General features: G+C 46.6%; 1 protein-coding gene across 1 annotated transcript in view, besides 5 other annotated features; it reads right to left on the bottom strand.

The window, feature by feature from the left end:
* APCDD1 (APC down-regulated 1) overlaps window positions 3086-27945 on the bottom strand; it is a 35315-nt gene continuing 10455 nt past the window's right edge. The window contains exons 2-5 of the mRNA NM_153000.5: window positions 24383-24566; window positions 20974-21505; window positions 7252-7573; window positions 3086-5445 (exon numbers count right to left, since the gene is read on the bottom strand). Coding sequence (NP_694545.1) covers window positions 4997-5445; window positions 7252-7573; window positions 20974-21505; window positions 24383-24566 — 1487 coding nt within the window. The 3' untranslated portion in view covers window positions 3086-4996. The remainder of the gene's footprint in view (window positions 5446-7251; window positions 7574-20973; window positions 21506-24382; window positions 24567-27945) is intronic.
* Window positions 6912-7111: a silencer, noted in NCBI's record as "fragment chr18:10485921-10486120 (GRCh37/hg19 assembly coordinates)". NCBI's record gives its function as "represses an EF-1alpha promoter that drives an FKBP-Casp9 reporter gene in an ReSE screen in phorbol 12-myristate 13-acetate-treated (for megakaryocytic differentiation) K562 erythroleukemia cells {active_cell/tissue: K562(+PMA)}" and the evidence as "EXISTENCE:reporter gene assay evidence [ECO:0000049][PMID:32094911]".
* Window positions 9722-9911: an enhancer, noted in NCBI's record as "active region_13082". NCBI's record gives its function as "activates an Ori minimal core promoter by ATAC-STARR-seq in GM12878 lymphoblastoid cells {active_cell/tissue: GM12878}" and the evidence as "EXISTENCE:reporter gene assay evidence [ECO:0000049][PMID:35858748]".
* Window positions 9952-10001: an enhancer, noted in NCBI's record as "active region_13081". NCBI's record gives its function as "activates an Ori minimal core promoter by ATAC-STARR-seq in GM12878 lymphoblastoid cells {active_cell/tissue: GM12878}" and the evidence as "EXISTENCE:reporter gene assay evidence [ECO:0000049][PMID:35858748]".
* Window positions 10022-10191: an enhancer, noted in NCBI's record as "active region_13080". NCBI's record gives its function as "activates an Ori minimal core promoter by ATAC-STARR-seq in GM12878 lymphoblastoid cells {active_cell/tissue: GM12878}" and the evidence as "EXISTENCE:reporter gene assay evidence [ECO:0000049][PMID:35858748]".
* Window positions 15229-15523: a silencer, noted in NCBI's record as "tiled region #1128; K562 Repressive non-DNase unmatched - State 22:ReprW". NCBI's record gives its function as "represses a minimal TATA promoter and a strong SV40 promoter by Sharpr-MPRA in K562 cells {active_cell/tissue: K562}" and the evidence as "EXISTENCE:reporter gene assay evidence [ECO:0000049][PMID:27701403]".

Genomic DNA, 27945 nt, shown 5'->3' with positions numbered 1-27945 from the left:
CTGCAGGTAGGATGCTGGCTGCTTCTCTTCCTACATAAATGGCAGAGAATGCTGTAACGAATAGTATTGCTTTTTAATGGGCTCTAGTACTTGCACTGCGGCGCTCTCCATTTGATATTAGGAAGAAAACACCTCCTAAAAGTTATGCAAAAGCTGTGCAAATGACTGTCAAGACAAACCAGCCCCATGTTTTACTAAGGTGCCTCTCATGTTTGTCGGGCATAGTACAGCAGCAGTGTGGGAAGAGAGCTATCTTGTTACAGTTCTGTTTCTCAGACTGTCTTCCCAATCTTACCCTGCCAAACTGCTTACTTCTGACATAACGGGGTATTCCCTCTTCTGCATTAGAACCCATAGGAGACTATAGGCTCTTTTAAGGGACTTCAAAAAATGCTATGAGTTAAGGATACTATGAAGCTAATGAACTATTTTCTTTCATATAGGTAATGCTGGACTCTAGATATAAAATAGCTTCATTTCCTAAATGAGTTGGAGAATAAAACTTCAACACATAACAGATATCTCAGTTTTTCAATCTAAATAAACTGATCTCAGGGCAGATGTATTACCCTAGTCCTAGCCTATGAGAACTTGGACTGTGTTATTGAGGAGACAGAAAGATGTTCTGCACGTGAGCTCTCTTAGTAGATAGTGGTCCTCACTAGTTTGCTATCATCTTGATTTTCTGAAGGTCAAAGTCTCTCAATTGTCTTGCATATGTAGCCTCATCAGCTGCAGAAAGAAGACTAGGCCTCAAATGCCTAAAGCCCTTGGAAAATACAATTTCCAACCTTCTGGAAGTTTCTCCTCTGCCTTTCATTTCACTCGAGAAGACGCAACTTACTGAGAAAAAGGCTGGAGCAACTCCTTAGAGGCTGGCAAGAGTGCCAATCCTTCCTCCAGCTCAGGAAAACAAGATTTTGATCAAGACAAGACTTTGTTTCAGAGGCTGAGGCTGCAAAGCATAGCAATTTGTGCCCACAAACTCTCTTGTGTTTCTGAATTCCAGTGTAACAGCTGAATGAGATTCATTAAATGAAGAGGGGGTAGAAATGCTCATGGAGTGTTTCAGAGGCCATAGGCCATGGAGGTGGTTGTTCAATAGACATCAGAAACAAAGCGACCAAGCTGAACCTGTGGAAACCATGGCCTTATTCTTGGAATGGGAGGCTAGGAGTCAGACACTGCAACCTGCTTTCAAGAGCAACTGTGCATTGGAGTAAACGAGGTGCATGTGCGTGCAGTTTCACAGCTTGGGTGGTGTGCCACTGGGCCTCAGGTTGGTCTCTCTTGACTAGGTATGACTATATAAAGTGCAATGTGTCAATCTGATCACATCTCAGCCAATGGAGAAGTTGGAGGCCATACTTCTCTAGCTTTTTTCCAAGGCAGGGTTACTTCTGCCTAGTCAAACACCAGGAAAATGGGATTATGACCAAACAGGAGCCCAATTTTACATTTAGAGATTGTTGACCCAAGCCAGGAACACTCAGGAACAGTCTTAGATTTGGGGATTTGAAGAATTTAATTCTTTTATTTAGGACATGTGATTCTTTTACTGGTAAGAAAAGAATGCTTGGCATTTTCTCATAAATCTAGAAATTGGTGGAAAACATTGATCCAAACTGCATTTGTTCTTGATGCAGATATTTCCATGAAAGATGTTTGGACTCATGAAAGCTCAGATGTCTCAAGAAAGCCAGAGAAGGCTGTGTGGGGTAGGGAAGCTCTCTGCTTGTGAGTGGACCCATTCTCTCCCTATCCCCAGGCTCTTTGGCATTTTCCTTTGAGGACAGTGTTCTGCAATGCCTAATTAGATGCTGTCTGTTGGCTTTGGTATCCCATCGCTGTGTTCCTAGTTTGTCTTACAAGGATTGGGTGTACCATGTTAAGACAAAACATTGCAATGTTAAAACACAACACTGTTGTGAAGATCATCTTTGTTTTCAGAATGTATTTTAAGAGCTAGTGGAGTAGAAAATGGCCGGTTTGTTGTCAGTAAAGCTCTTCCTTCACCCAGAAACCACAAGAGCCTGACAGTCAAGTCATTCTCACAGGTGCGTGTGGTCCCTATCAGGGATGTGCTGGGCTGCCAGCCTCCCTGACGGGCCCTTTGTGGTGGCGCTGCTGAGTTACCCTAGCATGCCACCACGGGATCAGACTACTGCTGCAGACTGTTATGACGATGTCACCCGGAGGTGGCAGACCTGAGTGTGAAGCGTGATCCTGCTCTCTGACACAGGAACTTGTCATGTCTGAGGAAACTGACCTTTAGTTCTGTACCAGCTAGAGTCAGGAGGCCAGGAATTTCCTTTTGAGCCCCAGGTCAACTTGGATTGTATGAAGTAGAAGTCTAAGTGACACCCAGATTTTGCTATTGCCCAAAGAACAGCTTTCTGACCTGGCCCTCCTCAGCCTGCTCCCCAGCGGAGGAAGGCTGTTCCCAGCAGGTCTTCTTCGCTCTTCACCACCTTCCCTGAATCTGGTATTCCCACGTAGAACGACCTGCTCCTAACTGAGTGGGAGGCTGGCCAGCACTGATTGCATGCTGTGTACTTTAAGCTTGTGATGGAATATTTAAGGGCCAGACATGCCTTCCTCAGATAGAGCAACGTGGTCTCGAGTTAAAATTTCTGACACTCAAACTTGAATGGCTCTTAGAGATCAATCACTGTTTCTTGGAGGTGATGGGAAATACCGTAACGTGGAGATCATCATGGGACACTGGGGAATTTAGAGTCTTATTTGTGCTAACATGACACAACCAAGATAAGTTGGAGTGTATGTGGGTGAGATGGCAACAGGCAGAAAGCTAAGGTGCCAGAGATCCGTGAGTAAATTCTATTGTTTCTTGTTGGTAAGGATTTATATTGTATCAGAAAGTGGTAAGACCACAGGAATTTCATATCATCCCTAATAAATATATACATATACATACATTGTATACACGTTAATATCTATATATTTGGGTATACGTGTATGTGTGTATATGTAGCATATTTTTAAGAAGCACAAATAGCTGAGTCTAGGGGAGTGCTTGTGAACTGCATTGTGGTAAATCACTGAGGTATTCTTCAGCAGTGAATACAGTTTTTCACATGATTTTATTACGTCTTTTAAAGATAGTATCAGTTGTATTTCTGAGAGTATTTTGACATCTTTGTTTATTGAACTTGGTGGCCATTTAAGTTAGTATTTTCATTTTGAATAAGCCCCCTCAGTCTGCACCACAACTTAAAATATAACCTGAAGCACTTTGGTACTCTATGTGGTCGTTGTAACTTAATGCCACACTGAATGCTGTGGCATTTCATAAAGTTACTTTTTTTTTTTTTTGAGATGGAGTCTCGCTCTGTTGCCCAGGCTCGAGCGCAGTGGCACAATCTCGGCTCACTGCAAGCTCCACCTCCCAGGTTCATGCCATTCTCCTGCCTCAGCCTCCCGAGTAGCTGGGACTACAGGTGCCCACCACCACGCCTGGCTAATTTTTTGTATTTTTAGTAGAGACAGCATTTCACAGTGTTAGCCAGGATGGTCTTGATCTCCTGACCTCGTGATCCACCCTCCTTGGTCTCCCAAAGTGCTGGGGTTACGGCGTGAGCCATCACACCTGGCCAAAGTTACTTCTTAAATACAAGGATGGCTCTTTGCCGTGATCATGGTTTCCATGTTTGCTTTCGTTCCATCTGGCTTTCGGTTACTCCCATTTCCCTTTCCCAGTCTCTGTGAGCGGTAACACTTGGTATCGTATAGCATCATCTGCGATACTCCAAAGGAATGGGCAGACATGCACTCCTGCGCCCTTCTAATGTCCCTAGGAAAGCAGCACACTGACCCTGAAACTGCCAGCACAGAGCCACATCAGCAGCAGGAAAGACACTGAGTGAGCCAGTATGTGCAATGACAGGATGGCTTTACACAAAGACTCGGTTGCATGCCAAGTCAGGGTGTAATGGAGCAAGCCCCCAGGGCAGACCATGCCCACTGCACTCTCTCTGAGCAGCTGAAGTTCTGTCTCTGCATGTTCATCTTAGAAGGTGGCATGGATGCCAGAGTGCAGCTTCTTCCGCCTGCCCCTAATAAGACAGTGAGTCAGGGCTCAGGTCCCCCAGGAAGAGGAAACTGCAATGAACGGGCACTTTCTCTATCATTTGTGTGGCATGTACCACACTGCAGCCACCCGTGTCACTGCTCCTGTGTAACAGGATTGATGTTGCTATTTTCCTAATGATCCTGTCTACTGAGAAGGCAGGAAGCCACATGCCTCCTGCAACAACCAGAAGCCAACAAGCCAGTCTCCTCTCTCAACAAGGTAAGACAAATGATGTAAAAATAGGTTAAATTACTTCGAAACTTTAATTACAGATACTTTTCCACGCAACATTTCTGAAATGAAAGCTTTGATTCTCCCCTTTTTTTGCATAAAGGCTGGGAAGGTGGTTTGGCCAGACCGTACATCTTTTTGTATATACATATCTACACCTGTGTCTCTTCTTTATTAATAAAAGGTGTCTTGATCACAGTCCCAAACCAACTCTGCATTGGATTCCAGCATATAAAACTCAGAGAGTAAAACAATTTCAAAGGAAGACAGGCTGCAACCACAGGAAAATGGCAGGAAAAGTTGTAGCTTGATAGTTGTTTCTTCTAAGTTTAACTCAGAAATATAATAATAATTAAGAGAAAAAAATAAGAGGCCCTAGCTTTCATCCCTGCTACCAAACACGCTCGTCCAGAACTCTAGGCTGTCTTAAAGTGCAATTACTGTTGTGAAGTTGCTCAGGCCAGGGATCAGGCTGGACGGAGTTCAAAGCAGAAACTTCAAACACTCCTTGCTGTTCATGACTCAGGGGCTGGGAGGGAGGGAGAGGAGAAAAAGAAGGACAGTTCTCTGGCATTCAAGTGCATCAAAAGAATAAATGTCTTTTCTTTTGGTAAAGCAAATCTGTCAATAGTAAGGAATCCTGGTTTGGAAAAATAGAACTTTCTAAAACTTCTATCTGCGGATGTTCCAATGCAGCAGAGGGACAAGGCAGGCAAGTGCAGCCAGCAGCAGGGACCAGGTGTGCCTCCCAGGGGCCCGGCCATACAGGCTGCTTCCACTGTCTTCTGCGAGGTCCTCTGCCCTCGGCGAAGAGGAGGCACACTGGACCAAGGGCATCTGGTAGGACGTGGCTCTCTTCTCTGGCCTGTCTGGGCTGGACCCGTCGCTGGGCCTCTGACCGTTGAACAGCAGATAGCGCCCCCGGGCATCCTGTTCCATTTTGAAGATCTCGTACTCCGTGTGAGGTAGTTTGATGCCCAGGGCCACGCAGCCATTGGTGTGGGTCACATCCTGCTGGATGCCCACCTGCCAGGAGCCCTCGGCCCCGCACTCATTCCCGTTGAAGACGTTGAGCAGTGAGGCTGTGGCCGCATCCATGGGGGTGACCTTCATGTGATTCACTGCAAAGGAGAAAGGAGAGTTCCATGACTCCAGGGAGTAGGCGTGGGATCCAGAAACCCACCCAGAAAACACTGGCCACACTCTAACTAGACAAGGCTTTCTTTTCCAAAAACAATCCCACCTACAGACCCACCCATCTGACAGCAGTAGTCATCAAAGCACTGTCAGGCGGAGAAGAGTTCAACCTGTTGATCTGGGTGGCAGTCACACCGATATGCTGCAGGTGTGGCCATGCAACACAGACCATCTGGTGTAGAAACACTGAGCCCAGAATACAGCTGGGAGTGCCTGCAGGCAACAAATAAAACTACAGCTCGGAGTGCTCCTAAGGAGTTTTATTTGGTGATGCTGACTCGTTGGGATTGAAAGAAAAATATTCAACAAAGGCTGGAATTTTGCTTTTATCAAAAGGTTTTCGGGTTTCTAAAAGTTTTGGTGTCAAACACCTATTCTGGTTGGCATTCTCACACATTCCTATGGGCCCATACATCAGGCATCTAAAATAAGTTAGGCTGCAAGCAAGAAAAATGTGAGTGAATAAATTAAATACAAATCCCAGCTTTTGTGGAGAATTGCTTCTGAAGGTCCCTCCAGGGGGCCACTTCCGTGTATAACACGATGAGCTTCAGGGTGGAGTCAAGTAAAGATTGCTTGCTTTCAATTAAGTTTCTCAAAGGGCCTGTATTCCTGGAGCAAACCTTGCTACCCAAAAGGAGGGCTAAAGTCTTCCAGGACTTTCTGGGTTAACAGAAACATTTTTATAGTAATGGGACTGAACCCTGGAACGCCATCCTGGAGGAGTCACCTGGGATCGAGGCTATCCCTCTTTATTTGGTATGATAGGGCTGACACCATTTTACAAAGATGCTCAAACTTAGGGGGAAAAAAAAAGCAACCTTTTAAAAATAGCAACCACAAGCCCTGCTTTGTTGCTAGCAGCCTGGTGCAGCTCCTTCCTCCCCTCCTCGTTTAGTGATAAGGACACAGCCTGAACCTTCCCACAGATGCTCCCACCTCCAAGCAGGTGACAACCTCTCAATTACACGACAAGCTCAGGGTTGGAAAGGACAGCTCTGAGCACCTGAGGTGTCACTAACACCTCTTTATTGCTCACTCAGGAAAGCACTGTGGCATGCAAGCAAACGCAGTGTTATTAGAGGGGCAGCATGGAATCTGCCAGAGTTGTGTATAAAGAACACAAAGTGCAGACTTGAGATTTCTTTTTTTGTTTTTTAGAGACAGGGTCTTTCTCTGTTGCCCAGGCTGGAGTACAGTGGCATGATCATATCTTACTGTAGCCTCAACTTCCTGGGCTCAAGCGATCCTCCTAGCTCAGCCTCCAGAACAGCTGGGACTACAGGCACATGCCACCACATCCAGCTAATTTATTTTATTTTTTTATAGAGTTAGGGCCTCACTATGTTGCCCAGGCTGGTTTCAAACTTCTGGCCTCATGAGATCCTCCTGCCTTGGTTTCCCAAAGTGTTGGGATTACAGGCATGAGCCTCCGCACCTGGCCAGAGATTTCATTCCCAGTAACATCCTCCCTGGCTGGCAACTTCCCACAGGCAGTGGCGTGGACTCCTCTCGCATTCAGGCCTGCAAGTGGAGGCTGTCCACCTGATCCATTTTGAGCAGGGAGAAACTCAGAGGGCGTTGGGAAGGACTGAGGCAGAAATGACTCCCCAATTTCTTTCCTGGGAACTCAGGCAGAAAAGAGGTCCTTTCCCTCAGCTCTGCCTCCACAAAAATGTCACAGGGCTGTTTATTGGCTGTGATACTGGGACTTGAGATGGGAATCCTACCTTTGAACACGAACTCGGTGCCTCCCATGACCCTGGACGAGAGGACGCCGCGGCTGTAGCGGCCCCGGGCGTAGATGGAGAAGGTGGGGTGCTTGCACACCGGGTCTGAGTAGTGGTAGTAGTGGCCCTCCCAGGTGTTGTTGTTGTCATGGAAGATGAAGTGGCGGGTGAGGAAGAGGACTTCGGGGCGCACCTCACAGCGCTGGCTCACCCACTCCCCGTGCAGGCCGATGGTCAGGTCTGCCTTTGGGGGCAGGATGGGAGGGTGGTGCTCGTCTGACCGATAGATGATCCGACAGGCGATGCAGGCATGGTCGTGGTTCTGAAGCCAAGAAACAAACACATTCAGAGGCCTCTATCTTCCCAAGGGAGCAGTGCACACATGCTTCCGGCAAATGGGGTCTCACCAGGCACCAGATCACCATCACTGACAACCTCGACACCAAGAACCAACTGGAATCATGCTCCGGGCACAGACAGAGGTGAGAGTGATGTGTGAGTGCACACGTTTGCCTGACAGTACAGACCTATGCAAACATTTCAGGTGTGATGTGGACACTTTAGAATCCTATTAAGTTTTCAGACCACATGCACTGGACACTTGATTTCAAAAAGAAATGATGGCAGCACCTCACACCCATTAGGATGGCTACTATCAAAAAATGCTATCAAAAAATCACAAGTTGGCAAGGATGTGAAGAAATTGGAACCCTTAAACACAGCTGATGAGAATATACAATGGTCCAGCCACTATGGAAAACAGTAAGGTGGTTCCTCAAAAAACAAAACAAAACAAAACAAAAAACAACAAAACAGAATTACCATATGACCCAGCAATCTCACTTCTGGGTATGTACCCAAAAGAGTTGAAAGCAGGGACTTGAATAGATATTTGCACACCCATGTTCACATCAGGGTTATTTACAATAACCAAAAGGTAGAAGCAACCCAAGTGTCCACTGACAGATGGATGGATCAACAAAATGCGGTCTATCCATACAATGAAATACTCTTCAGCCTTAGGAAGGCAGGAAGTTCTGACACCCGCTACAATAGGGATGAACCTTGGGGACACCCTGGTAAGTGAAATAAGCCAAACACAAAAGGACACTGTATGATGTCACTTATATGAGGTTCCTAGAGTGATCAAATTCATAGAGACAGAAAGTGGAATGGTGGTTGCAGGAGCTGGAAGGGGGGGACAAGGAGTGGTTTAATGGGACTAGAGGTTCAGTCTGGGAAGATGAAAAAGTGGATGGTGGTGATGGTTGTATAATAACATGAATGCGATCAGTGCCACAGAACTGCACACTTAAAACTGGTTAAACGATACATTTTACATTATGTGTATTTTACCACAATTAAAATTTATTTTAATAAAAAAAGTTAGGAGACACAAAGAAAAATAAAAAGGCCAGCGCTCCACTGGCTGTGGATGAAATGGAGTTGTGTAGGAAACGCAAGGTCCTTTAGAAGAGGGAATGGAGGAGGCGGCCCGCAAGAAGGGAGAGCTGGAAGCTGCGGAGCAGCAAGCACACGCGCACACTGCCCTCTGTCCCGGTCTGCCCGCCTCCAGGTTCAGAAGGTTTCTGCGTTCCTCATCTGCTTCCTGCTTTCTCAGCTTTAAGCAAGACGGCCACAGCTCTGACCTTCCAGAAGACCCTCTCTTGCCTGGTCTATTTTATAACACGGACACAGCAGGGAACAAGGGCTGTCTAGGTTTGTGGCACAGAAAGGCCTCTCTGGTGAGAGGTGCACACGTCAGAGATGCTGGAAGTCAGGGCACAGGGTGCTTGAACACAGTGCCAGTGCCTCGCTGTCTGACCAAGGTCTTCAGACACCTCTGAGCCCGGGCTGCCTCCTCCTGCACCTGGGTCATCCCTCCGCTATTCTCCTTCCACCCAGGGGGTGCAAAGCTGGTAGGCTAGCAGAACGCTGACCACTAGCAGCACGTGCCGATCGGATCAGGCTGTGGTAGGGAGGTAGAAGTTGGTAGCTCAGTGTTCTGGGGACGGCTGGGCCACCCCAGCCCCGTGCTCCCATGCCATCAGTTCATGGCCTCACATCTGTCCTGTGGCCAAGGCTGAGGGGCACCCACTGACTGGGCAGGCACACACTTGTTCTCTAGCAGTTCTCTAAAGTTGGAGATCTCAGTCACCAGGGTCTTTGGGTTTACAGCCCTCACTCAACATGTGATTTCGTTGTGGTCGCTGTTTGGTTTCCCAGAGAGGGCAGGAAGAGCTGTGGGCTTCCCAGCTGCTGCTCACTAACTTGCGCTGCTGCTGTGTGCATTAGATGGGCATAGAGTTGCACTTCAGGCGAGATAATGTTTCCTTTGCTAACATGGTTTGTGGCTTGTAGACAATTGGATCAAAGAGCTGCAGCATTGAGATGAAGGCCAAGTCCTGGGCGTCCCCAAGCTCTACGTGCATTTTTTGGCCTGCAGTTTCCTACAGAGGGCTTAGGGGCACACGGAGAAACTGCCTGCAACCTGTGCTCAGCAGTGAGCTGCCCTCTGCAAGTTACAGGAGAAATGGAGATGAGCTCCTGCATGAGGCCCATTAGGCCAGAGCTTAATTACGTCACGGAAAGATGTCTCCGGCCAGTTCCTGGGGGCCAAGGCCAGCCCCGGCCGCTTCACAGCTGGTGATTTTGGGCAAGCTATTTATTTCTCTCCATTTCAACTTCCTCATTTTTACAATGGTGATCATTATACTTACTTGCATAACTGCTGCAAGAAATGAACAGCAGATTAAGGTGGTTCCCACTCAGTGCACCCACTTGGTGTGAACATTAAATAAAGGCCTTTCTGACACCCTATGTGCCACTATCTTTCAAATGCACCTTAAGGTGAAGAAAATACAAACTGAGTTAAAAGAAAGCATCACTGAGTACGGTAGCTTTGCCTTTACGTTTCCTTGGTCAACTACTATGGGGTAAAGGTTCCAGAGTTTTCACCTTAACAAGAGTTCTGATATTCAAAACACAGGATGGAAAGTTAGTATGACATAGTGTGCCCAGCCCAGGGCTCCTGCATAACTGCTGGAACAGTCACCATTGAAATCAGGCCTGTGGTCCTGGTGTGGGGACCAGTGACACCCCCTCTGACACTGGCTGGGAACTTGGATTCAAATCACGAAAACTTCACAGCCAGGAAGGTGGTGTTCTCTTGTGATGCCTGTTATCAGACACAAGCTGTGCAGGAGCCGGCCCCTGGCTCAGCACCACCTACAGGTGAGCCCAGCACATGCTGAAATAAGAGAGGCCACATGAAGCACTCGTACCATCAGGGTAACAAGAAGCGCGGAGTCAGATCTTCCCGTCAGCCAGGAGGAGCTGCGCACTCCTACCATTTGCAGCTCATCGCTGGTAGTGGCTACCCCCTCCGCCTGGGCAGGTCCCCAAAGCCTAGCTGGCAGCCCCGCTTCCCCAACCCCAGCCTTCAGCTCCCCTCTGCGCCATTCCCCACAACTTGGTTTGCCATCTGTAATTTGGGAATTTAAAAACATCAGTTGCAACTCCTTCATTTCTGGTCATTCTAAGGAGGTGAGAGTCTCAATTCCTGAAAAGATTTAATTTGTCAAATACCAGGATCAATTCAGGAAGAGCTCAGAGAGCTTCTAAGGTGGGGGTGGGAGAGAGAAATGAAATAAGGGACGTTAGTTCTTGCAAGAGATGCTTCTGGGATGACGTCGAGGAGCAACTGCTGTTTGGCTCAGACAAGGCAAAGGCTCGGGGGAGGGGAGGGGGCACTGCTGTCGCCTGGGCTGTTCCAGAATGAGTGTTTTCAGAGGTGCTTTCCTTTAGCAATAATGAGGCCGGGGTCCTGAGCTCCGAGACGAGGACCCAGTGGGACTTGGTCACTTCAGGAGGTTGATGGTCCTGGCTGAAGTGTTGCTGTTCCATAGCAGAGAAAAGCAGGCCAGGCACGGTTTTTGTGTTTTTGTTTGTTTTTTTTGTCTTGTGGAGAGCACAGGCGCAGGGAGGCTTGTTTTCCATCAGGTGGGCCTGAGAATTTAGGGAGGGTGCAGGGAGTGGGAGAAACCTGGCTCTTGGGTATTGGTCTTGCCAAATCCCTAAACTAGATGCTTTTTTTTTTTTATTACTGTGTTTAAAAAAATACCTAACATAGAATTTGCCATCTTAGCCATTTTAAAGTATATTCACACTGTTGTGCGGCTACCCCTGGAACCTCTTCATCTTCCCCAGCTGAAAATCTGCACCCACTAAACACTAACGCCTCATTCTCTCTCCTGCCCCTGGAAACCTCCATTCTCCTTTCTGTCTCTGTGGATTTGACTATTCTAGGTGCCTCATCTGAGGGGAACTATCACTATTTGTCTTTTTGTATCTGGCCTGTTTCACTTACTATAAGCTCCTCAAGTTTTATCGATGTTGTAAAATGTGTCAGAATTTCCATCCTTTTAAGGCTGATATTCATTGTATGACTATTCCACATTTTGTTGATTTATTCATCTGTCGATGGACATTTAGGTTGCTTCCACCTCTTGGCTACTGTGATTGATGCTGCTAGGACCATGTTTGTTCAAGTCCTTGCTTTTAATTCTTTTGGGTATGTACCCAGAAGGAGAATAGGTGGATCAATTTGGTAATTCTATGTTTAATTTTTGGGGGGAACCACCGTACCATTTTCTGGAGTGGCTCAATCATTTTACATTTCCATCAGCAATGTATAAGGTTCCAATTTCTCCACATCCTTCCCAATACTGGATATTTTCTAGTTTTGATCGTTTTGTATTTTGTAATAGCCATCCTACTGGGTAAACTGATAGCTCATTGTGGTCTTAATTTACATTTTTCTTTGCCAATTTTTTTTATTTTTTATTTTTTTTGGTTGTTGACTAGTTACCTTTTTTTTTTCTTTTTTTGAGACAGGGTCTCACTGTTGGAGGTGGGAAAGAGAAAGTCTGGGGGTTGCCCAGGTTGGAGTGCAGTGATGTGATCTCAGATCACTGCAACCTCCACCTCCCAGGCTCAAGCAATCCTCCCACCTCAGCCTCCCAAGTAGCTGGGACTACAGGTGTGCACCACCATGACTGGATAAATTTTTTTTTTGTATTTTTTGTAGAGACGGGGTTTCACCATGTTGCCCAGGCTGGTCTCAAACTTCTGAGCTCAGGGCAATCTGCCTGCCTCAGCCTCCCCAAGTGCTGGGACAACTCTTTAGCAGTCATGAAGAAGCCAAAGTTATCATAACAAGCAGAGTTGTTTCTGGCCTCTGTGGATACTGTCAACGAGGGGACAATTTTAGCTACCGTTGAATAAGGAGACACCTCTGTATTGTAACAAATTTTAAAAATATCATTTATGCTAATTCTCATAATCTTTGGCCTGAATAAAAATTAGAGACCTACAGGCACAACTACAGAGAAGCAGAAATTAAAGCCTGTATATTGTATTCATTCTAAAGTTTCTCTTTTCTGAGATGTTTTTCGGAAACAGTATTCTTCCAAGATGGATACATGGAAAGAGAATTAGATATGCAGTTTTTAAACATGATGAGTGATTGGTACTGTGGAGTATCATTTGCTCCGTAAAATTATTCCCTCTTTTTTGGGGATCCATGTTCCAAGACATGACTCTCATTTGAGAAGTGTCCTCTCCCAGGCTCACCAACTTGGCTTCCACGGCATCCCCTTTCCCCGAATCTTAGAAAGGGCTATTTAAAGCCAGAGCTTCTGTACCCAGAAGATTTGAAGGTTAAAGCAGAGGAACCAGAAAGTGTTTCCTTGTTGCTATTCTTTACACACACTATAAAAAGCTTTCATCAGAAAGGGGAAGGGAGAAAAAGGATCCCATGCAAATAATCTCTGGAAAAAAAATTAAACTTGTTCTAAAAATGAGAAAGAAACTTATACTTTATAAATGAGCAATGTTCTAGGCAAAGAGTGGGGTTCTGCCTACTCTGCTCTCTGATTCCTGCTTAGCTCCAGGTAACAAGTTAAATAGCTACAGCTTGCATTTACAGGATATTCGAGTCTCGGAGGCTCAAGTACAGCATCTCCTTAGACTTTACAACCTCCCAGGAGACCATGGGTACATTTTACAGACGAGGCAACTAAGGCACCTGGAGAGAAAAAGTCAGATGACTTTACAAACCCAAAGTGGAGCCAGGATGGTAATTTGGTCTTAGGACTTGCTGAGTGCTGCCTCCTGGCCAGAGCTGCCTCAGGCTGCAGAGAACAGACGTTTCCCCAGCAAGGACTCCAGCCCAGGAAAAGGTCTTCTCCGGCTGATGACTGATGGGGATTCTCCAGGCTTTCTCTGTTCCCTGCCACTGTTTATTTCTGGAAAGGTGGTTCATCAACATCTGCTGACAGTATCTGTTTGTTTTCGCCATCTTCCCAGAATGGAAGAAATTACTTGATGTGATCTTGTGAACAGATCAACTAAGGAAGCAGGCTGCATGAAACACAAGCCTTCAAAAGCAGTGTTCCTTGAGCTAAAAGTTTTGTTCAAGAAGGAGGAAAAATGGGAGTAGATGATGGAAACTTCCTTTCCTAGGGTTTTGTTCCCTCGGATAAAAAACACACAAATGTTTCTCACAAAGAAACCTGCAGTGGCCAATGGCCCACGTTGAAAACTTTCTTTGTAACTGCGATGTGCCAAGTATTTGATTAAATTTCTGCTGTAGATAACCCTGCAGGTACATCCTTCTCGGGTCTTCTGTATTACGAGTCCTTTGAGGCCAAGACCAAGTGTTCTCTCTTTGTCATATTTCCCATGACATCCAGGAGAGAGTTGCACAGGGTTCTCGGCTAACAGGCAAACGGAGAGAAAGCTGGCATTGGACATGTAAAGAATTAAATGGAGTAGCTAGCATTCATCACAAATGATGGGCGCCCACCTGCCTTGTGGGAGGGAACTCGGGGTGCTTTTCCTATCTGGGATTCTAGGAGCTTGTGAATTGGGGCTCATTTTGATCATCTAAAGGGAGCATGATGATGCCACTTTCAGAAGGAAGTGGGTGAAGAGCTGTGGCTTTAGGTACAGACTGCCCAGGCAGGCTTGCTGTCTATCCAACACACTGAATGTTTGTGTCGCCTCAAAATCCATGTTAAAATCCTTACCACGAATGTGAGGAAATTAGGAGGTGGGGCCTGTGGGGGGTGACTAGGTCATGAGGGTACAGCCCTTAAGAAGGGGATTAGTGCCCTTATAAAAGAGGCCTGAGAGTTCTCCAGCTGTCTTGCTGCCACATGAGGATACAGAGGGAGGTCAGCAGTCTGCAACCTGGGAGAGAGCCCTGACCAGGATTCCAGCCTCCCACCATGCTGGTGCCTTGATCTTGGCTCTCCAACGTCCAGAACTGTGAGAAGTGAGTGGCTGTCCCCAGTCCATGCTGCTTTGCTATGGCAGCCTGGATGGACTGAGGCACCTGCTGCCCAGCACCCACTCTCCACAGGTGAGGGCAGCCCCTCAGTGTACAGACCCCGTGCAGCTGCGTCATCCCTGCCAGGATGCAGGCACCTCTGTGGTGCCAGGGGTACTCAGAGAGCCTCAGGGAGGCTGCACAGCCACCTCGGGCCTGTTACCACTGTCCAGGAAGGGGCCTGGGCCAGGAGGATGAGGGAGAAAAGGAGAAACCAGGCTGCTAATTCCTGAGTCTGTAGTTGGCTATGAAGCAGAGGGGAGCAAAACTCAACCAAACACTTCTGCACCCTGGAGTTCAGCAGGGGCAGCTGGTAGGTCCTTAAGAGCAACATTAGCCTTCTGGAAATGGACTTCCAAGGCAGCTTAGAATCTGAGAAGTGAGCTCACAAAGGCCTTTTTTTGTTTTAGTTAACATTAGAATAATAAAAAAGACCATTTTGCCTCACCCAGCAACTGGAGAAAAAGGACCCTAAGAAGATGGTTCTTTAAGAGAAAAGACTTTAAGAATGGTTTCCGAAAAGAATTTTTATTTCTTTTTACTTGTTTCTTTCTTCCACTCCTATGCATTTTGATTCATTTAAATAATTAAAGTAGACTTATTAAATCTGCTGTAAATCCACTGGGCACTCCTGGCTGGCCCATCCTCTTCCTTTCTCCCCTGGGGCTCAGCAAACACTCCCTGGAGTAGGGACCTCATGCGTACTTTTTAAATGGCCAATTTCCTGCTTTTGCAGGGTTTCCTCATGTCCTCTGAGCTTTCTTGCCTTTTAAGGGATAAAATATTTACCACTTGCATTGTCCCTGACAACAAATATTTCCTGGTCCCCTAACTCCTTAAATAAAGCAACCTTGCATGCCTGTTTATCTGCTGAAATACTCTGGAGTCAAGAAATATAATGAGCTGTTTCTGCAATAGAAGTGTCTATCAGCAGCCTTGTAGCCCAGTGATTGTGACACTGCACACCTCGGCCCAGATAAAAGGTCCACAAAAGCAACCCCTTCAGGGTCAAGACCCCCTCAACCTATCCCAATTGCCAGCTCTGTTTTTTCATAGAATTGTGCAACATTTGCTGCCTTATAGGAAACACCTGGCTCCAGGGAGCAGTCACAGTTTTCTTCTAGGGTTCTCCTTCCTGTAAGACTAGTTCTTGAAACTGTCTTAGGTCATGACTTCTTGAACTTCTGGTTGTCCACCACCTCGTCCATCTCCCATCACCTCTGCAAATCCACACTAGCAGAAAGAAAAGTGGTATGGAATTCTTCCACAAGCACCTGGCTCCTTCTATACCCCAGAGACGCAGCCGCCCACCCACCCAGGAGCCACACCAAGCACATGCTCAGGAGACGTCCCTCCATGCTGGCTCCTGCAGCTAGGCTGAAAAGTCCAGGCTCCAAGACCACCTGACTCAACATCCCCATGGTGTCACTGACATCAGGAAGCTGCACAGGTCACACATCCTCTAAAAAGCCTCTGAGAGGCAAGCTACCTCAAAAACATATGCTGGCTCCAGCCTAGCGGCTCCTAAAGAATTTGAGAGAGAAAGCACAGCATGCTCTTTTTCTGCAGTTCTCAGGTACTCCCAAAGCCCGGTGCTTTTCTCCCTCCCGTGTGTAGCTCCCCTGCTGTACATGTGCTGGGATCGAGTATTTCAGATGCACAGCCTGGGGAAGGCTGTCTGGTTTTCAGACAGCCCCTTTGATTTACGATCCTGTGGTTAAATCAGTGCAGGATTTTGGAGAAAGACCAATTCCATTTGCTTACGAGTCTGATCCTGAGGCTCTGGCATCTCTAACGACCTTGGCAATCATTTGCTTTTAATTACCATTTGATTCCATCCCTGAAAGAATGAGCCTGGCTTCTACCCCTCCAACTGCATAGTTCTGAAGAATCTCGGCAGAGGATTATGGCTGCTCTGACGCTAAACTTGATTCAGGCAAAGCATCTTCTTTCAGGGTTACTTTACGCTGTCTTGACTTTTTTATAATGAAGAGTAGCCAGTTCCATCCTGAATGAACCCTCCCAGCACACCTGAATCTCTTCAAACGTCACTTATTTGCCAAAGGACTCTGGACCTCACAGCAAAGCTGTATAAAGCTTAGAAAAACAAGTTGACTTAAAGTTTCTATTTTTACACGGTGTCCTGTTTCTAGAGGGGCTGAGGCTCGTGGTTTGAAACTCAATTTAGCATTTAAACTAATTTTCAGCTTGGTCTCTATGGACCAGCAATTAGGGAAGTAGAAGAGTTCAAAGGAGGAGGTTCCAGCCTCTCCTGGGCAGGCGTGTACGGTCTTTGAAGACGTTCTCCCAGCCTTTCTTCCTGTCTCCGCTGGCGGCCACAGACAGCTCGGACAACCTGCTGTGGCTGGGCCCGCGTGGGCACACAGTGCCCAGTCTTTCTGGTGCCCGGGTCTGGAAAGACACCAATGGCTGAGTCCATTTTGTTCCTTCTCAGAGCTGTCCTGGGGAAGGATCTGAAAACTTCCTGAAGACTCCGCTGCACACTGCAGGCCAAGAGGTACAAGGCGAGAGACAAGAGAAGAATGGACCCTTTCAGCTACCAGAGCCACTCGGCCTTCCACTGACCCCCCCCCCCCTCAGCCATCTTGCGAGGCAGCTAGGCTGGCTCAGGAAGCCTGGGTCCTCCTTCCAGCTGGGCTGCCACCTGCATCTGTGGCCACAGCATTCCTCTGGGTCTGGGAGTGTTTGCTTGCTTTTTTTTTTTTTTAATCTAAATTTTCTGTGATGACTGTGCTTAGGTAATAGAAGATCACAGCACAAAATGCAACAGGTACCAAAAGTGAAGTCTCTGTCCGACAATCCCAGATAGACAACTCTGTCACTTCCTCTGAGGCAGTCATTAATTTCCTCCATAAATATCTGATTCCTTTGCAAAGAGTCCCTCTTCTTCTCCTTTCATTATTAGTTTTATGCAGATGGTATCATATTATTCACGCTATTTTATAACTTCCTTTTTTCCTACTTAACAATATGTCTCGTGTAGTATCTAAGGTCCTAAAGCTCTTTCCACCTTAATTTTCTGTCATCAAGGAATCAGGCCTGGGATTTAAAGAGTCTATTTCTTAAGAATCTGGGTAAATGTTCCCACAACTGCCTTAGCAGAGCAGGGAGGAGAAAATGGGAGGAAGTGTTTTATGGCTAGGCATCATGAAACACTTTGATGTTCCCTGGTCAGTCGACATTGTCATTTTCATTCCTCTCTGAGCCATTGGCCCAGAAGGGCGACTTACTCTAGGTTAAGAGAGATGGAGCTTTGCATTCAGGCCCTATCCTGATGCCCACAGGATTCTGCACATTAACCCTATTGATTCTTATATTTTTGCCATTTTACAGAAAAGGAAAATGAAGTCTCCAGTAGGTCAGATAACTACCAATGCCACACGGCTGATGACAGCAGAACTGGCTTCCAGGATTGGCTACCGTTTCTGAAGTCCACATACTTGCCAATTTGTCCAAAAGGTGTTAAATTCTAAAAAGGTCAGCTTTACAATTGCTGTCTTTAATTGCCATGCCAATATTTAATAATTTTCACTTGTGGGGCATTTTCCCTCCAGGAGCCACAGACAGGTCTGCAGAGGGACATTGACGGGAATGAAGTGTCCCCTCCTGGAGTACCCCTGGGCGCCAGCCTTAACAATGCTGACTGGGCTTTCAGACTCCATCTGCGGAGCCACACCCAGGAGTGCAACGGGGTAGAGAGGCAGGTAAGAAAATAAACGTGATGATGGTTAATTTTTCCCCCAGTACTAAAAAGAGCAGAAGAGATCAGAGCCCGTGCAGGCGCATGAAGGTGAGGAAAAGGAACCAGAACCTGAGTGGGTGCAAAGGACTAGTCCAAGGTCGGGTTCGGAGCCCACAGCCCGGCCCACGCCCGCCCAGCAAGTTCCCCAGCCGCACCTGCCTCCTCACTCAGACCTCGCACTCAAGGCTCCCCGTGCTTTTTGGTGTTTTGAGGCTCTTTGGTGTCTCTGCTAGAAAGTGGGCAGGCTTTTCCTATTCAGCAGACCTTCACAAAGGCCCCGAGGGAACGGCGGGTTGCGGGGATGCTCCTGGCTAACCCCAGGTTTCTGGATTATCTGTGGGCCGTTTTAATTCATGACATTCACACCTTCCTCCCGTTACCTGAGATCATTTGAAAGATGGCGGCCGGGCGGACGGTGGCTCACGCCTGTAATCCCAGCACTTTGGGAGGCCAAGGCGGGCGGATCACTGGAGGTCGGGAGTTGGAGACCATCCTGGCCAACATGGTGAAACCCCATCTCCACTAAAAATACAAAAATTAGCTGGGCATGGTCGTGGGAGCCTGTAGTTCCAGCTACTTGGAGGCTGAGGCAGGAGAATCACTTGAACCCGGGAGGCGGAGCTTGCAGTGAGCCAAGATGGTGCCACTGCACTCCAGCCTGGGTGACAAGAGCAAAACTCCGTAAAAAAAAAAAAAAAAAAATCCCAGAAAGGTGGCTAGACTATACTCAGAGCGAGCCAAAGGTAGGTATGAAGCCCCTTCTCCTGCTACTATCTCAAACCAAGTGGACCTGGCCAGTATAAAACAAGAGAAATGCTATGCAGCTACAGTGTCCAGTGCCGCCTTTGGGCAGTGCTGCCAACCAGAAAGGCCCCAAAGTATAATTCGAAGCCCATTATTCTTACCCATTTTCCCAAGACACCCACTCAACCCTGACCCAGAAAGCACACCCCAGTCCAGGTATCACCCTATGAGCCGATTCTCCTTCTGATACCTGCCCAGGGGAATCAACATGTTGAAGGGCAGAGTTTTGGTCTCCTTTCCCTGTGTCCCATTCTAGGAAAACCTCTGGGACCCCCTGACAGCTGCAGCAATGGAGCCGGCATCAGAGGCTGCCCTCCCTCTCTGCCCTAATTCATGTTGGCCTCTTCAGTGCATTTGAAACTTACAAGGCAGAATGAAATGAGCCTGGCTCCTGATCTGTGTTGGAACAAACCCCCAAGGGCATCCTGAGCCGGCAGGAATGCTGGGCCTGGGCACATGGGCTGAGCACAGGGCTTCATCTCACACGCGGGGACACAGCCATGAAAAGATTCATCCAGAGGAAGCAGCCTCCACCAGGTGGGCTTTCTCAGTAGCTATTTCATTATTATAATAAGAGCCACTTGCATTGCACAAGCTCACAATAACATAGATTAAAAAAAGATAACACGGAGCAGTCTTTGGCAGAAGTGCCCTGTGATACCTCTATTGGTTATGAGTAGTCTTGGAGGACTAATAAGAAAAAAGATTTTTAAAAAATGAAGAAACCACCAAACAAAAGTTAAGCAGGGCTCCACAGTTACAGAGCCACCGTGCTAGAGAGTGTTCCACGAAGTCAATGGGGACGGCCGGGGAGATACTCCACAGAGACCTGCCCACCGCCCACCCGCAGCAGGCCCGGGTCTGCACGTTCACACTACGCACTGGGCAGAAGCCCACTCCCCTCCTGCCTGGGACTTCACAGGCTCTGCGGGGAGATGGTGGAGGTGATCGAGTTACACATGGACGTGTACTCTAAGCTTGTGGGAAGGAAATGCCTTGTGAATTCCAAATATAATTACTAGAATATCATTCAAGGAAAAGACATTATAAGGTTTAATTGTTTCCTGCTCTCCTTAGTCCCCTCTTCTGATTATGGTGACTTTACATTTTCCTTAGTGAAATGAAAAGAACGTGGGGTATGGAGGAAGGACCTTTGGACTCATGGTCCAGCAGGAAAACTCAGTAGCCGCGTGGCCTGGGCAGGAGCCATAACCCCTGGGACCTCAGCAGGCTGTTCTGCCTAAGAGTGTCGGGACTCACCAGGGTGACTCTGGTGGACAGTCTCCGTGGAGTCTAACACCCCACACAAATCCCACTGTCACCTCCCCTTTCTGTCCCTCCCCGCCTCCTCCAGGGCCTGGGTAGCTGCTATTGTTTAGTATCTTTTCCAGGTGTGGTTATGACATCGCCTTCACACTGTCCTCTTGGAATCACTGAAGAGGTTCCTGGGATGGGAGAGCTGAAAGGAGCCTTAGGAATTTTCTAGAACCATCATCCCATGCCACCACCCACTTCAGTAGGATAACCGAGGTTCCAAGTCACAGAGCAAGTTGGTGGCAGACCCAGGTCTCCTGACTGGCTAAAGCACCCTCAGCCCCAGCCTTTCCCATCTCCTCCCACCTCGCAGCAGCCCCACCTTGGCCTGCCCCGCCATGATGCAGAATTCCCCCTTTCAAGGGTGCCCTAGAGCCCCCATGGCAAGCCTTTAAGAAGGATCACCCACTTTACTCAATAAAGAGGAGAACACAGAGCTCTGAGGTACCTTGGCATTCTGCAGAGGGGGCTGGTAACTGGAGGGCCGGTAGAACATCCTCTGGGTGGCATCAGTGTGAATGTCACCAAGGAAGAGCTCCTCGACCAGGTGGTCGAGGTTGTGGTGAAGGTACTGCTTCTCCACCCGGATGAGCTGAAGTTCATGCATGGCAAAGTTCACGGCCTTGGTGCACTCACAGCCGTTCTCCTCTCGCCAGAGGTCATAGGCCACGTCCTGCACCCAGGGACCCCCGTCTGCGAGGAAGCCCGGGCATGTGCGGTTCACCTGCTGGCCGAGCTTCTCGGCCACCGCCTCTGTGTGGCAGATCACCTGGACGTTGTGCAGCTGGTAGTCGGCTTCCGTGCCCCCTCGGATGATCCAGGAGGCCTGGCGGAGGCGGATCTTGCCCCGGATGATGAGAGTATAAGTGGGATTTGTGCACCGGTTGCTGCCATAATAAAATTGGTAGGCCTTGAAGGTGTTATTGTGGTAGAATCTGTAGGACCTTGTGATGAACTCTGGGCCTGACCTTACTTCACAGCTGGGCAAGAAAAGGGGAAGAAGAGACCTTTGTAAGCCTGAAGGTATGGGAAAGAGATTCATTATAGTATTAAGAAATTACAGAAATAATAATAAAGTGCTGACGATGGGCCAGACTCTGTTGTCAGCCCTTTATAGATACCAACTCATTGACTCCTCACAACAACCTAGGAGTTAGGTATTATCATCACCCAGGTTTTACAGGTGGGGAAACTGAGGTTAGGGAACATGCCCAAGAGCACATGACCAGCAAGTATCAGAGCCAGTCCATGAATCCAGGCAGCCTGGCTCTGATGCTGTGCTCCTAATCACTCTGCCTCAGCCAGCCTTCCACTCGCTTCACGAGCAGGCCAGGAGGGCAAACACCTGCTGCCCTGTGCAGGCATTTCTTTCTGGATAAGGAGGATGAGTGCTGTGCTGGCCTATAAAAGAAGTTCCCTTACGCTAGTTCAAAAACGGTCGACTTCCTGAACACTTTTATTTTATGGACCTTGTCTACAGCAGGCAGGTGCAAAATGTCTGTCATCCTGAGACAGAATCTAGTCATCTAGCATCTTCTTGTCCATTCAGAATTAATTTTCTCTCTAGTAGAAAAGTAAAGGGGGCAATTAACTAAAAGCAAAGCTGGCACAACAGAAATAAGGGTTCCTTTTGTTTATGATGGTTGCCAGTGTGGCCTTAGATGAATGCTAGGTTCCTGAGCCAGAAGCACTGAGACAGAATCTACAGAGCATAACAGCAGCGGGATGGAATTGAGGGATTTCACAAACGGCTCTGTCAGCCATTCACATATACTAGCTGAGGCTGCAATGGGGGTACGGGGAGGTACTTAAAGCCCTGGCCAAATGACCTGGCCTTAGCCTTTTGTTAGCTCCTAGTCTCAGTTACGCCATGACTTTCAGCTCATCAATTCTGGCCTTCCCACTCTGCTCTCATCTATGATGCTAACACAGATTCTGGTTTGAACTGACGAAGCGCTGCTAAATCAAGCAGTCAGGCTAAAATGCCAAACACAAGTGGTTTTCAAAATTGCTAACATTTTAATTTGCTCATTGATGGACTGGTGAAAGATAAGCATTATTTAGACAGGGGTACCGTTGCTATGTAACGTTTGACAACTGATGTCGAGTAACATCCTATGGACATAAAGCACTCAACAGTACCTGGGGTATCTGTAATCTTAGAAAAAGGAGAGAGCAAACACCCCAGATTTCTCCCACAAGGAAAGAGAAGTTTAGTGTAAGCAGTGATTCATGTTAGATGAGGTTTAGAAAAGAAGATCCCTTTTGTTTAATTTTTTAATCTAAGCATCAACAGTCTGTTGATTCTGCCTGCCACGTACAGTGGATCTCAGGCCCACTCACTTCTCAGTTGCTCCTGCAGCTCCTCTTACCTAAGCCTCTGTGCTCTCTAACCAGAACGGCTGCAAAGGTCTTTTAACTGGTCACCCCCAAATCACTTTTTCTCCCGTCCATTTGCCAAACAGCAGCCAGAATGCTCTTTCAAAAAGCTGAATCATATTTTAAGCATGGCCCCTGCTGAAAGCTCTTCAATGACTTTTCAGTTCTCTTAGGTTAGAAGATCTGGTCTGCAAGATGCCTTAGAGCTGGCCTACCCTCCCCAGCAGCCTCATGTGAGGCTGTCTGCCCTGGTTTACTGCATCCCAGCCACAGGGTTCTCAGCCAGCAGGTCCTCCAATCTAGCCAGCCTCTTGCTCACTCTGCATCTAGCCTGGCATCTGGTTCTTTAAATACAAAGCTCTTCCCACAGTCTTTGCACAGCCAACAATGTCTCAGCTCAAGGGTCCCCTTCTTTGGTAGGCTTTCTGAACTCCGCCCTGATTTTAAAATGGGGCCCCCTGGTATTCTCTTTTAGCACCTGTTGCTGCCCCAACCCCTCCACTTTCATAGTACTTCTTGTGTATTTACTTATAAAACCCTTGAAGACAGGGACCAGGTCTGTTTTGTTCACTGCTATATAAACAAAACTTAAAATAGTGTTTGGCATATGGTAGGCACTCAATAAATATTTGTTGAATAAAATGATAAATATTTTAAAAGTATGTAACATGAAGGTTGTTTATACAAATTGTTTATCGTGGTTATTTGGAGAGACCTCATTTTTATGAAATAAAATTCTGGGTCTTCATCATCTTATACAATTTCTTTTTTTCTCTTCTCCATATTCATCTGATCCCTCCCCAAGGAACTTGAAGGCTGCTATCCATATCCCGGGAACAGCGCACAGGGAGAAGTGATCAGATCCCAGAGTTAGTCTTGTTAATTCTCAGCAATCTAATGGGTAGAAAAAAAAAATCGCAGATCTGCCTCTCGGCTATTTTTAAAAGCTCTAATGGAAGATAAGCCAGAGCTCAAACTGGGATAAATCTCAGCTTCATAGCATGGAAAAGAATCCAAGAACTGCACCCTGGCTAGTAGAGGTAGCTTTTAACTTACTCTTAGAACCCTGAAGCCATATATTAAATTACCAGAATATGGCTAGAATATTTAGACCATCCGGAGCTTGCAAGTCATGTTTCAGGCTTGGTGAAACACAGTCTCTTAATTTCACTTGCTAATGGTTTCTTTTTATACACAAGTGGTCCCATAGAGTTCAGTAAACAAGGATCTATTCACTCACACTGTGTGGTTAACAGGAGTACAATATAATCTCTGCTTTAGCATAAGATTTCTACAGTACTTAGCTCTTTTTCTTAACCAACCATAATTTCAAAGAGTGGTTTGGTTCTTCATTAGAACTTGGACAACACCTAAATCATTGTAAATGATATAAAGTCTCTGCATCTGAGAACCCATAAGAAGGGTCTTCCATAGTGGTGTGCTCTCTGGCCTCTCCCAGACCCCACCTGTCCTCTTACCCTGTGGAGACCCAGTGGCCCTCGATTGTAGGTGGCATCTGCACTGTGATCCTTGCACCATTGTGGAGATGTTTGAGCATGTGATGGCACTGTGACTCCTTAAAAGCCCTCCAGGCACTTTTCTCTAAGGACCTAGGATGAGACCTGCTGTCTGGATGAAGGAGGGCAGAACCCTCTCCCAGCCCTGAAAAATAAAGGTGGAAAGTTAGCCAAAAGAAGAAGTAGCAGCAGACATGAATCAGGCCAAACAACCACCTCTGCAGCAGACAGTGGCTGAAGGTGGGAAATGATTGTTTATTCTACAAGGTGTCATCACAGTGCGTGCTCTCGTGTATGATGCACATTCCAAAGTGGCAAGTGTCATTGTAGATCAATTCCCTGGTGAGAAAACTGAGGTCCTTGGAGATCACCAACATAACTTGCTTGAGGTCACTTAGCTAGTTCCTGGCAAAGCCAGAGATCAAATCCATGCATCTATGAAGCAACAATGAAGGTTGTGCATCTGAGGAGTGTTTGTGCAAGGCGGCCAAGGGAAGGTGACTGGCACTGTAGCAGAGAGAAATGAACATGTTCTGGAGTCACCAAAGTGGAGGAGGTGGGGAGAGGTGAAAGAGGTGTCATCAATAAGGGTGAATTTACACAATGACAGATTTAGGTGAGGAAAGGAAAGAACAAGGAGACCAGCCTCAATGAAACTGCAGCCTGGGCAGTGATGGAAGGAGAAGGCCCAGGAGACTAGGAAGATTCCCAGCTGGGATGTGCTTGCTGGCTTGGCTCCATCTGCTTACACCAAGCCATGCATCTTCTGGTTCTCTGTCTTCAAGTGGATGCCCTCTACAGGGCTGCTCACCACGTGGTGTGAACCTTGCACCCTCCTACAATAGGGACGTGGTGTGACATTTCCCCCCCAATTATCTTCCAAGTCCAGCCCCTCACCCTCACAAGGCCAGAAATAACCTAAACATACAATACAGGGCTTTAAATTAAGAATAATGGCAAGAAGATTACATATGTTTATTTCCCAGGGGTAAAGACATACTAGCAGTAAACTTATCTTCAGAACGAGTCATGCAGGTTGGCCACAATCTACCCATGCAAAACTACCACCAGCCTAATGTTCAGAATAAAGCAATTAAAACTGGTGGAATTATTATCTGAAAGCCACGGTCTCCTCTGATATTCACTCCTGAAGTGATTAACAAATCAACAGGCATTTATGGCGGACCTACTACGTATTTAGCCCTGTGTTAGCAGAAAAGACACTAGTTAGACAACTGTACAAACTTTTTTTAAATATACAAAATAAATAAAATGTACCTGTTTGAATGCTACTGGTGAGGAAGCAATTATATTTTTTAATCAACACATAAATAGCTTCATAGAGAAGGCACGGTTTCTGAGAGATGATTTGAAAATGAGAAGTTAGATTCAGAATATAGTCACTTACAGCAACATGACGAAAATCTACCTGGATAAACTGAGACCTGCAGGATGGTAACTTCAGATATCTGTTAAATATTCAGATATTTACCATCATGTGGACAAAACATTCAAAAGACTAAACTAGTTTTTGATGGAAAGTCTTGGTGTTGAGAAGACAGAATTTTCCGTATCTGAACTCCCAGATTTTCCCTCTAAGTAGAATTCTGGCTTTGAGATGGAAAGACAGCTTCTGATCGTTCTTACAGATTTTACATGCAATGAATGTCAGTGAGACAAATATACCTAAGGGTATTACTCAACTAAATGAAAATTGTGAAAAGAGATTCTAGACAAAAGAGGAGAGTGCCATGTTCAAATTAAAGGCAACCTCACTCAGCCCTGTTTAGCCAAGTCCCCTGATTCTTGCCTGAGCTAGAATGGGGCAAACTCTAAACATGAAAACTCTGCCTAGTGTTGTTATTATTCATGGTCATGGTTATTAAGCCAGGGCTTCCTTTCCTGAGGCCTCAAGTTCCATTGAGGCAAGGCATCTCCACTAGAGTGGTACTCCTGGGCATTCCCTCCCCCTCCCTCATTCTGCCCTCCCCTGGTGAAGTCACATGAGTTATGGAAGTGGAAGCAAGCATGCTTGATTCAGTCATTTTTCTCTTTTCAAAACCAGCCTATTTACAAAGCACATGCATTTTGATCAGCTCCCCCAGGGGGTGAGGACCATGTCCCTTTAGTTGTTCAGCTGTGGCACTGGGCCAGATGGGAAGTCTGAAACATTCGGGGGGAACTATGAGCACTCCTATCATGGGCACCCATCTACACTGTGTCTTTTGATTAAGTATTTATCACTACACTAACGTTTTAATCCCCAAGTGCCTCACCCTCGTGTTGAACGCCCCCTTAGTTCTGAACCAGAGTAGGGGAGAGGGGACTGCTTACTGGACCTCTGCCAGCCTCAACAGTTGTAGTTATCTTGGTAACTGTCAACATTTCCTCAGTGTCCCTGCTAGGCAGTCAAGGAATGAAACCAGTATAACTTGCTGTCTGGTGGGTCAACAGTATGATCGATTTTGATGTGGCTAACTTAAAATAGATTTTAGCTAAAGTTACAAGGTATTGGGAGTTGGGGAAGATTCTGCTATAAATATGCTACTAAGCATTCAGTAAAGAAGCCATCATCTCAGTATCAACCAAGCTATCTTCTAAAACTTGATTTGTAAACCTCTACACCCTGCAAGTATTTTCCCATGAAGATAATAAAAGCCAGGAGTGTAGTGGATGTGGATTAAAATCTCTATAGCTCGGCTGCTCAAGTCTGAAACTAGATCTGCCACTTGAAGGATTGCATTGAATCCAAGACATCAAGCAGTGTTAAGATGTATCATTATTTTATTATCAGTGACAAAACACGCACATTTACACAATGATATGATGCCTTAACAACAGTCACGAGATACCCGTGAATCACTTGCAGCAGCCTCCGATGGCACTGACATTTCTGTATCTAGTCAAAGACATCTGGCAATTTCTCTTGCATTTGGTGGCACTGCTGCACGTGTGACAGATAATCTGTTTGCTCTGCACGTGTCTCAATAACAAAACAAAAACAATGCCTTATATTTTTTGGGCATTCTCCTTTCCAAGTAGTTGATTGATGCTGTGTGAGAAAATATGGAGTTGCAGTTATTCTTCCAGCAATAAATATTTGCTTCACTAATGTCAAATTAACACTCCACTGCTCTATTAGAAGATCTGTCTGATTTTCACTGTGGTTTTTCTTTTCAGTGCTGAGAGTGTAATTTATGAGTGAGGGAAGAAAAAAACCAAGCATGCTGACTCAGATGTGTACTCTCTTGATGTTCAAAATCAGCCTATTTGCAATGAATCTCCAGATGAGTCCCAAGGATGGACATAAAGGTGATGTGGGGACAGTATGAGCATCTGTGTTCTGGTTCACACAGGCAAAGGGAATGTCACCCCTCATGGCTGCTGCCTGGAGGCCAACGGAGACTGGGGCCCCCACTGATTGTGAGATGCACACGGCCTGCAGAGATCTTAAAGTACGAAAAAGATGGGTATCTTGCAGTCACTAAAACACAGTATTAGCGCAGTGACCTTAAACAAATCAC

Source organism: Homo sapiens, chromosome 18 (assembly GCF_000001405.40).
Source record: "Homo sapiens chromosome 18, GRCh38.p14 Primary Assembly".
In the NCBI taxonomy this organism is placed as follows: domain Eukaryota; kingdom Metazoa; phylum Chordata; class Mammalia; order Primates; family Hominidae; genus Homo; species Homo sapiens.
Note: the sequence above shows the minus strand (reverse complement) of the source record. Positions and strands in the feature narration are given on the sequence as shown.